Source organism: Homo sapiens, chromosome 10 (genome assembly GCF_000001405.40).
Source record: "Homo sapiens chromosome 10, GRCh38.p14 Primary Assembly".
Classification (NCBI taxonomy): Eukaryota; Metazoa; Chordata; class Mammalia; order Primates; family Hominidae; genus Homo; species Homo sapiens.
Window position 1 is genome coordinate 131,571,890 of NC_000010.11, and position 10,842 is coordinate 131,582,731.

The window sequence follows — 10,842 nt, forward strand, 5'->3', positions numbered from 1 at the left end:
CATGTCTCCTGAGGGATGCGGCTGCCACAATGGGGGGCTTAGGGGACATCCTGGGTGGGTTGTACCTGGGAAGCTAAAACCCTGTACCTATGTACTTGGGAGAAGCCTGCCTGACACACAAGGATCCCGTGAATGAGGTGGGGCCAGGGGTACCAAGACCGGACAACCCCAAACCCCCCAAGCTCTTCTCCACAGGAACAGCCATGTCAATGCCAAAATCATCATGATATTCCTAGAATCCTTCCGAAGCGGAGGTGGGCTTCGGAAACAAGAATGGCAACCAAGCCAGCCCAGAAGCACCCAAGGGAGCCAAGACGCTGGATCGACTCCAACTCTTTTTATTTCTGCTGGAGAAGAGCCCCACCCAGCTCTCAGGAACCTGGAATGAGAGGATTGTGCTGGAGGATTTACTTTTACTTTTAGGACAAGATTGAAATCCCTTGTTATGTCTGTCTTTCAATAAGCTACTAATGCCCACATCTAAGTATCTCCATTTTGATGAAAAAATAACACTATATCAGCAAGCTATTTGTGAAGCTGGATTTTAAGAACTTGATCCACAAGCTTAATGGGTAAACATTTTTAAAGAAATTCTGGTTGTTAAAGCTGCTTTAGCCCCCTGGCTCTGGAATTTAAATTCTTTGCGATGTTGTAAGCACCACGTTGCTATGACTTTTTTCTCTCCCCATTTTTTTTTAACCAGAAGTGGAAAATTATCTTTACACTCCTTTTTCAGGATTACCAGAAAGCTGACGTTCTTTCTCAAATTGGTCTTTCTTTTCCTCTCATTTTTTTATTTTTATGTATTTATTTATTTTTTGATGGAGTCTCACTGTCACCCAAGCTGGAGTGCAGTGGTGCAATCTCGGCTCACTGCAACTTCTGCCTCCTGGGTTCAAGCGATTCTCCTACCTCAGCCTCCCGAGTAGCTGGGTTTATAGGCACCCGCCACCACACCCAGCTAATTTTTTTTTTGTATTTTTAGTGGAGATGGGGTTTCACCATCTTAGCCAGCGGGGTCTCAATCTCCTGACCTCATGATCTGCCCACCTCGGCCTCCTAAAGTGCTGGGATTACAGGAGTGAGCCACCATGCCCGGCTACTAAAAATACAAAAAATTAGCCAGGCGTGGTGGTGGGCGCCTGTAGTCCCAGCTACTCGGGAGGCTGAGGCAGGAGAATGGCGTGAACCCAGGAGGCAGAGCTTGCAGTGAGCCGAGATCATGCCACTGCACTCCAGCCTGGGCGACACAGCAAGACTCCGTCTCAAAAAAAAAAAAAAAAAAAAAAAAAAGAACTGGGCTTCTCTTCACTTTGAAAAACACCAGATTAAACAAATAATCCAGCATCACATATTTTTATTTCAATTCATAACTGAAGTCAAAGCATTAAACAAGTCAGATTATAAACAAATAAATGAAAGTTTTAAAAGCCCCTCCCGTGAGCCAGTGTGAGCCGGTCAAGCCGGCAGGAGGAGCTGCATGGGCTGGCAGAGCTCCCCGCCAGCCCCTGCGTGGCTCACCCCAATGGAGGCTGTGACACATGGTATGTTCGCTGGCTCACATCCTCACACTGGTGGGAAATGCAGCTGGGAACAGGAGCCTGAGCATTGCCAAGGTCACGAAAGAGTGGAAGCCCCACCTCGGCCCAGGGTCTGCGCCTCTCTTGGCCAGAAGGAAGCCCCACCAAGAATGTATTTCCTCACCTGATGGAGAAGCAGGAGGCAGGGACCATGCTTGGTAACCGCCAGACGGGATCCCATCCAGCCATTCAGCTGCCATCCTGGGAAAGGGAGACTTCAGATCCCATCCAGCCATTCAGCTGCCATCCTGGGAAAGGGAGAGAATGGGGCTCAGGCAGGACGGGTCTTGGGTAAGACCAATGAAGTAATGTCAGGGCAGAGCCCAGGAGGAAAGGAGACCTTTGGCGTCTGTGTGGAGAGGCTGTGAGGGCAGCAAGTGACCTGGCCACACAGGTAGGAGGCCACAGCCTGCAACCACAGGCTCACAGCTGGGAGGTAGGGGAGGGTCTGCCCAGCTGACTCCACATCCTCCACCCACCAACCCCCACCTTCCCCTCCAGCTTCAGGGGGACAGATTGACCCTGCTGGAGACCAGTTGCAACCACAGGCTCACAGCTGGAAGGTAGGGGAGGGTCTGCCCAGCCAGCTCCACACCCCCCACTCACCAGCCCCCACCTTCCCATCCAGCTGCAGGGGGACAGATTGACCCTGCTGGAGACCAGTGCAGTGCAGGAGGTGACAGGTAGGCTCAGAGGTCCTGACTCAGAGCTCTGTGACCCTCTAAAGTATCTCAATCTCTCTTAGTCCCTGCTTCCTAAAATAAAAACTGAAGATGTAGCCCTGCCTTGCCGGGTGTTGGGAAGTGTGAGCAAGACCTGCGTGTGGCGAGGACTCGCTCCAGAGCTCAACACTCCACAAGTTGGAAAGACGGACCGCACAGGTCCACACGGGAAGGGTGTGGACAGTAATTCATGGTTTTCAGAGGATAATAGAATGGCAGGCTCCTGGAAACTCAATCTAGAAAGCCGTCCACATCTGTGCCAGCCTCTGACAGTAAGATAAAAATAAGTCTCCTCACTTGACAGACTCTGAGCCCCGGGCCAGACATACCAATGGCTACAACTGAGTGCACACCAAGCTCGTATGAAGTATCCCAGGGCGCTGAGGACTCAGCGGCCACCCCTGCCCAGAGGCAGAGAGTGCAGGTCAGGGCAAGCTCCAGAGGGCACATCTGCTGGGCCTCGGGGAGGAGCCAGGAGGGGCAGCCACGGCAGGAGGCCAGGATGAAGGCTGCAGCCGGGAGGGCGCAGCAGCCAGCAGTGAGCGCTGACCAGCCTGCGGGCCCCTGTGATGGCACTTTCCAAACAAAATCTGACCCCCTCACTTCTGGAGTGGACAGGGCTGCTCCCTATCCCACGCAGGAAGCTCTCGAGCCAACACCACGGCTCACAACCTGCGTCGTTTCCCGAGCTGCTCTGCTGAGTCAAGGTTGGGAAACTCAACCTCTGATCACGCAAGTTCAGCGTGCTGGGCCGCCCCACTCCTCACAGGCCGGCCAGCATCCGAGGTGCCCACAGCCAGTGCCCTGCAGTGTTGAAGCTGTTCCACAATCTGGCAGGACTTCGCATGTGCGGCCACAGGACAAACGCCCAGAACCTGAGCCCTTCACAGTACCCGAAGCCGCTCTCCGGGCCAGCCACTGGCCAGGAGAGGAAAGTCCATGCTGGAAGATTCCCAGCTGTGTCTGGTTGGGGCCGCCTGATGACAGAGTTTGGCTCCTGAGCAGCCAGGAGCAGAGCGGGAGAGGCTGAGGGAGAAAGCCGGCAGGGGAGGCGCAGAGGCCACGTGCACAGCCCACGCTGCGGGATGCAGATGGGAACAAAGGTAGGCCAGTGGCAGGAGTGCCTCGGGGAAGTCCTCGGCCCAGTGCTGAATGGAATAGGAAGACCCCACACAGGTCCCGAGAGCAACATCTTAGAAACCCCTCCCCGCCAGCCAGTGGGTCCCACAGTCTGCTGGGCCAGTGCTGGGACATGCACCAAAACCGCAGGATAGAGGGGATAAAGAAAACGTGGTACATATGCACAATGAAATACCACTCAGCTCTAGAAAGGATGGGATCCGGGCATTTGCAACACGGACAGAACTGGAGGTCACCGTGCTAAGTGAAATAAGCCAGCACAGAAAGACAGACTTCACATGTTCTCAGCCCTCTGTGGGAGCTGAAAAGGTGGAGCTCCTGAAGATGCAGAGTGATTGGTGGTTACGAGGCTGGAAAGAGAAGGGAGGGAGTGAGGAGAGGTTGATTCATGGGTACAGGTATACAGATAGAAGAAATGAGACCTGGGGTTCGACAGATCAGTAGGGCAACCATAGTTTACAGTAAGCTATTGTATACTTCAAAATAGCTAGAAGGGAATAACTCAGACGTTTCTAGCATAAAGACAAATATTTAAGGTGATAGATACACCAGTTACCCTGGTTTGATCTTTCCACATTATATGAATGTATAAAATTATCACATGTACCCCAAAATATGTGCATTGATTATGTATTCATTTAAAATATCAATTTTTTAAGCACCAGGAGGATTGGGTGCCGGAGGGTGCTGTGGGCTGACCCACCCCTGCCAGGGCAGAGGGAAAGGGCCGGCTCTAATTGGCAGGTTCCTGGAGAAAGCAGCTCCTGGGAGAATGTCAGCACAGAGCAGTGCCAGATTGGAATCATCTTGGATTTGCAAGAGATTGAGAGATTTCTGGCTACAGTGAAACACAGGGAGAAGCTTTTGCACAAAGGAAATAAAGGTTTTCTTTTCCGGAACTTCAGTTCCTATTTGGAGTCCCAAAGGGAAGAACTCCCACCGATCAAAAGATGGATTTTCTCAGCCGGAAAGTTCAATCTTGTTCCTCACAAGCCTGGTCGTTTATAAAAATAGCTGGTGATGAGGTTTTCTGAGACAGGGAATCACCAGTTACCTGATTTTTAGGATCTAAAAGCAGAGAGCAGCTGCTAGGATACCAAGGAGCTAAGCCCTCGGCTGGGCGTGTTTACCGAGAATCGGGACAGTCAAGGCTCGTGTGTTTTCAGTACAGGCACTTGGTGACCCACGGGCTGTGAAGCTGATGAAAGAGGAAGACGGTGGGGTTGGGGGTGCGGTGGTTCCCGTCCACCCATCTGCCAGGTTTTATGTGCCAGGGGCTCAACCTGCCTGCCCTGCCTGCCTGCCCTGGGACCAAGGGCCAGGGAGGAGATTAGATACAGAAATCTATCCCCGTTTCTGTAAAAACCATGAGAATCAGAGCCTGCTAACAAGCGGTGTGACTCTGGCCTAGGAGATGGAAGCTTAGCAGGCAGCACCTTTGTCCTCATGGAGCTCTGAGTCCAGCTGGAGAGACGCCAACAAACACGGAAATCAAGGCCCAGGGTGTCCATCCCCATTGCAGTGGCACAGGGCGCCTGGGGTGGGGCTGGGGGCTCTTCTCCTGCAGCGGCTGGAGAGCGTCTCACCAGCAGGGACAGGCACACGTGGAAAGGAGGAGCCACTGACACGCAGAAGGCGCATGGTCCAAGTGCCCACCCCTCGTCCATTCTTCCAGCAGAGACCCCCAGGCCCTGCGCTGAGCGGTGAATCCACGCAAAGACCACTCGTGCCTCTGAGGTGTGCATGGCACAGTAGGGAAGGAAGATGGGGGGAGGGTAACCTCAGTGGGAGTCTTGGGTTTTGAGGTTTCGGGGGACCCTTGGAGAGGCTGGGCCCCAGAGAGCCTCCCTGCTGTCCCCAAGTCACTAGGATCATCACATGATCAGAGGAAGACACCAGAAACTCTATTCCATTTGAAGTCACTGTAACTCATTTGTGAAAACATCTGGGAGATGCCTCTGGCCCCTGACGTTGGCCCCTTCTCGAGGGTGGGACAAAGTGCCTCAGAAGGATGGTGGGGAAACAAGCCGGGCACAGAACAACAAACTACAGGATGTCGCGGAGCTGTGGGATCCGCCACAGCCAACCTCAGGAAGAGAGAGGAGGAGCGGGGTGGGTGGGGGTTGGGGCATGGGGAGATGGTGGTCAAAGGATATAGAGCTTCTGTGAGATAGCAGGAGTGAGCTCAGAGGTCTGCAGTGCACGTGGTGACCACGGTTATGACAATAACAATGTGTTAATCTCTGCAAGATCCTGAGAGTGGATTTTGCGTTCTCATCACAAATCATGAGAAGCATATGAGGTCACACATAGGGTAATTAGCTTGATCCAGCCATGCCACAATGTACATGGGTTTCAAAATATCACGTTGTATACCATAAGTACATACAATTTTAATTTGTCCATTGAAAATATTAATTAATTAATTAATTTAAAATGAAACTAAAGAAAAGCGGCCCAGCTGGCCCTAGCTTCCCCTGAGAGACTCCTTCCCTTCATTCTTTCTCCTCCACCGTGAAGTGGGCCTGGGATGAGGAGGAGGCTGGAGAGCTCCCTGAGGGGACAGATGGGGCTGGCTGGGCAGATAAATGGGGCAGGGGCTGGACCCTGAGGAGGAAGCCCCCGCTGCGCCCCTCGGCTGAGCGCTTGGGTTTGCTGTTGGGTGGGTTCCTTCCCAGCCTGTCTGGCCGCCCCATGTAGCCATGAGGGTCCAGGGCTGGTGTGGACACCCCAGGCATAACAGGCCACTGCTCCTGGCCCTGCTGCCGTGGTCCCACCCTGGGGCTCCCAGCGCCCACCGCCAGGCAGAGAGTCCCGTCCCTGCTCTGTGGAGCTCAGCGCGGAGCCCCGGGAGCAAGTCCTCAGTAGGGAGCAGGACGCCCCATCCTTCCTCTTGTTCTGCAGACCAGTCGCTTGAGCCGCCACCAGCTCTGGGCTTCCATGGGTGGGGGCCTCATTCCTGGGGGGCTGCTGGAGGGAGAGCCAGGGATGCAGAGAGAAGCGGGGGCTTTCTTTTCGGCCTCGCATGGGCAGAAGCAGCAGCCGCCTCCTGGTTCCCGCAGAGCCTCTGCGAGAAGCCCACAGCTTCCTTTCCCCACACATCCTGGGAGCCGCTTCTGGGGCGGCCTGGGCCCAGCCCTCCGTGGGAGTCCACTGGCCACGGTCAGGGCGAGAGCAAGGCCGAGGCGATCTGGCCGCCTCACCTCCTCCTGGGCCTGATCATCTAGAAGGGTCTCTGGAGGCTTCTTGGAACAACAAGCAGAAAATCCCTGTAAAAATCTCATGACTCAAACATCTAGTTGTGAGGACACCATTGCAGGATTATTGTCCACCGAGTTAGACACACACGGCCTGTAGTGAACTGCTTTCTGCACGGGGTGAAACCTGCCCCATCCCTGCCAGAGACCTACAGCGGGGACTCCTGTGCCTGCACACAGGAACAGAATGACTCCGTGGCATGAAGTCAGCATCTCGCCCGGGATCCCGGGAAGCTGGTGCTCCCTGCTCCATTGGGTTGGAAGATGTTTGATGTGCTCAGTCTCTGTTGCTGCTAACTTTACCACCGCTGTTGGAAATAACATTTTGTCAATGTGATATGCAAATAAGACCCAAATGTAATTTCGTATGTAAATAAGGCACAACTCCAAAATATGAACTGTGGAAACAGAGAGCTTCTCTTAATTTAAATTCCGTATGGCCGTTTATGTCGCTTATAAAAAATCTAAATCATACGAATGTCTCAGCTCACTGACATACTCCTGCCGACCATCGATGTCATTGGGTTCAGAGGAAGAGCCGCACTCTGCAGGCGCAGGCCATCAGCCGGCTAGCTGGGCTGATGACCTCTGTGATTGAAGCTGGATGGTAGAAAAGCCCCTTTTGCTTTCCAGTGCACAGCTGTGTGTATCGTATCCAGAGTGCACCAAGCAGCGTGCTTGGAATTGCTGTTTCATATTTCCTTAAATGAGATACAGCCGAATCCATTCTAACAGACCTCTCCATTATGCTCTAGACTTTGTCAAGCGTCTGGTGCAGTCTATCCCACATGAATACGCTAAGTTCTCTTCCTAGCCTGCTAGGCCAGCAAGCAGCTCCTATTTTTGTCTGCTGGAGATGAACCCATTGGTAGTGGCCTCAGGGCTGAGCAGGGCTGTCTGCTCCTGTCTCAGGCCTCAGATCCAACCATTATTCCTTTTCTGGGGTTAGGTTTTGTTTGCCCAAACCCGGCCGACAGCAGCCTCGTCGGTGAGCTGAATCGCAAGAATGGGGGTTTCGACCCAACACGACTACGCCTCGCTTTCTGGAGGGTGGCTCTAGACATATGCACCCTCCAGCCCTGAATGTGGCTCTGACGGCAGGCTCTCTGCGTGGGCCCTGGGCTGAGGAAACCCCGGGAGGCCCCAGTACTGCCTGTGGAAGGCTGGCTGCAGAATTGGACCTGCCTACTGTCCCAGTGACCTGCCAGACAGAGCATGGCCTGAGGAGGGGCCGTCCTCCACCTTGGACTCCCACTGTCACAACTCCCTTGTCCTGGCTGTGCCTTTCCCAAAGGGTGTCCATATTTCAGCCCCCTGGAAGGCAGGCCCAGCCTAGGCCTTGGGGACGGGGGATATGACAATTCAGCTCTGCACTGAGAGCCTCTCTCAGCCGGCCCAGCCATGTGGTGATGGGGAGGGCTCCTGGCTCACACAGCTGTGACTCCTCTCCCAGACCCTTGGGTGCTTTCAAACCCTTAAGCTGTCCTGCTCCCCAAAGGAGGGACTAGGGGGCCCTCCTGCCGAAGGTGTAGCATAAAGAAACAACGCAGAGTGAGGAAGTGGATGGGATTGCCTGGGTTTCTTCCCCATCTGCAGCTGCACAGAATTCCCCAGAGCCCTTTCCCCTGGATGGGCGAGAGTCTCCTCTCCATCAGACACGAGAGGCTGCAATCTCAGGCACAGCTGCTGTGGCCTGCTGTGAGTGAGCCACCTCGTTAGAGCCATGCTTCCCTGATGTTCATTCTTTAGACAAAGACAGGTTTCCACCCTGGAGATCCCAGACACCAGGACCTGCTCTGTCCCACTGGGAGGACACGCCCTGTGCCCACCCTAAGTGGTGTGAGGGAAGGCAGGGGAGGGGGCTGGAGCCAGAAGCAGCTCAGGCAGAGATGAGGTGAGCCCAGGACCTTCTAGCCTAGACCGCATCACCTGTAAGGAGGGTGGGTCCTGGCTTTTCACGGTCCGTTGCCAGGCAGGACCACTAAGAATCTGTGCTCGCAGCAAGTCCAGGGACAATTTTTTGTGCATCTTTACAGAAGCTCCAGCTTCGAGGACCAACAGGATGGTTCTAAGCTATGGCCCAGTGGACTTTTTCCAAAAAAGCAGAAAATGTCAGAGCAAGGAGCTCTTCCCATGGGGCCCACTGCCTTTGGCCTTTCCCTGGGAAGCATGTCTCAGATGAGTCAGTTAGATGGGGAGCTGGAACTTCAGGCCCCGCAGCGGCGTTTGCCCTGGGGTGGATTTCTGATAGAGAGACTTGCCCATGACCTCTTCCAGGGGGGAAATCCCAGCTGCAATGATGGAGCCTCTGAGCCCCACACAGGCTGCAAGCATATCTCAATGGGGATAGGTGAGCCCAGGACATCTAAGGCTGGCATCTGGGCAGGAGAAGCAGCAGTAACATCCTCCAGGGTGTCAGGCTGTAGAGCTACACTAGAAATGCCAGAAATGCCTTTGCAGAATATGGGTCAGAAGCCAGATTTATATACAATGCTGCAGGAAATATCTTTCTCATAGAGCAGTTTAGCAATTTCAGGGAATCGCAAATCTCCGTTCTGAGAAGTTCAGGGTGCACAGGATCAACTGTATTGTTCAGGGAAACACATTGCACAGCCATATGGCCTGGCCTAGGATATTGGAGAGAAGAAGACCTCACCAGCCTCCCCACACCCTTGCCTTGCCTGTTTGCCTGGGTATCACCAGCGGAGGCTGTAGAACAGCAAATATTGCTGCCTGATCCTTCCTCTGGAAGCTTCATCTCAGAGGGGCACCTGGCTGTGTGAGGTGTCAGTCAGCCCCTACTGGGAGGTGTCTCCCAGTTAGGCTATACGGGGGTCAGGGACCCACTTGAGGAGGCAGTCTCTCTGTTCTCAGAGCTCAAACACCATGCTGGGAGAACCACTGCTCTCTTCGGAGCTGTCAGACAGGGACATTTAAGTTTGCAGAAGTTTCTGCTGCCTTTTGTTCAGCTATGCCCTGCCCCCAGAGGTGGAGTCTACAGAGGCAGGCAGGCCTTGTTGAGCTGTGGTGGGCTCCACCCAGTTTGAGCTTCCTGGCCGCTTTGTTTACCTACTCAAGCTTCAGCAATGGTGGACGCCCCTCCCCAGCTAGGCTGCCACCTGGCAGTTCAGTCTCGGACTGCTGTGCTAGCCGTGAGCAAGGCTCCGTGGGCATGGGACCTGCCGAGCTGGGCATGGGAGAGAATCTCCTCATCTGCCAGTTGCTAAGACCTTGGGAAAAGCACAGCATTTGGGTGGACGTGTCCCATTTGTCCAGGTACAGTCTGTCACAGTTTCCCTTGGTGAGGAAAGGGAAATCCCCCAACCCCCTGTGCTTCCCAGGGAAGGTGATGCCCTGCCCTACTTTGGCTCACCCTCTGTGGGCTGCACCCACTGTCCAACCAGTCCCAATGAGATGAACCAGGTACCTCAGTTGGAAATGCAGAAATCACCTGTCTTCTGCATCAATCACGCCGGGAGCTGCAGAGCGGAGCTGTTCCTGTTCAGCCATCTTGGAATGGACCCCCTGTATTTTTTATTTTTAACATAAAAATATCATAGTCCTCATTTATGAAAATCTTGCATCAGTGCTATTTCATTAGATTTAGAGTGTTTATCTAATAATCAAATTAACACATACATGCTCATTGTCAGTAATATAGGAAATGTAAAATAGTCTGAAGAAAATCAAAGTACTTGATAGTCTTGCTCCCAAGAAATAATTCCTTCCAGTTTTGTGTGTTTCTGTTTGTAAATGTACTCATAAAATTAGAATAATGCTGTTTAGTATTTTTTTCACGCAACATATTACTTGTTTTTTCTTATGTCATTTAACATACATCAAAAATATAGTTTAATGCTTGTTTTAAATTCAACAGCTTATTTAATCCTTCTGCTTTAGACAGGTTATTTTTAGTTATTTTACTATTCTAAATCTAAAAATTAATGAAATATTTGTCATATCTATAAGTTGTGTTCGTTATACAGATTCTGACCCTTGGAAGTAATTGACTCTTACTGATAGTCTTGTGCCGGGCATTACGCCAACAATCTAGCAAGGGGGGCACCATTACAATCCCACTTTGCAGATGAAAAAACTTAGGTTTTGAGGTTCAATAGACAGTTGCAAAGCCTGGAGATTTTT

At 52.6% G+C, this 10,842-nt stretch overlaps 2 annotated features.

Annotated features, from left to right (window-relative positions):
- Positions 7,859-8,359: an enhancer, noted in NCBI's record as "H3K4me1 hESC enhancer chr10:133378011-133378511 (GRCh37/hg19 assembly coordinates)". NCBI's record gives its function as "activates a minimal SCP1, AML or CMV promoter by ChIP-STARR-seq in primed H9 embryonic stem cells {active_cell/tissue: H9 hESC(primed)}" and the evidence as "EXISTENCE:reporter gene assay evidence [ECO:0000049][PMID:30033119]".
- Positions 9,280-9,818: an enhancer, noted in NCBI's record as "H3K27ac-H3K4me1 hESC enhancer chr10:133379432-133379970 (GRCh37/hg19 assembly coordinates)". NCBI's record gives its function as "activates a minimal SCP1, AML or CMV promoter by ChIP-STARR-seq in naive H9 embryonic stem cells {active_cell/tissue: H9 hESC(naive)}" and the evidence as "EXISTENCE:reporter gene assay evidence [ECO:0000049][PMID:30033119]".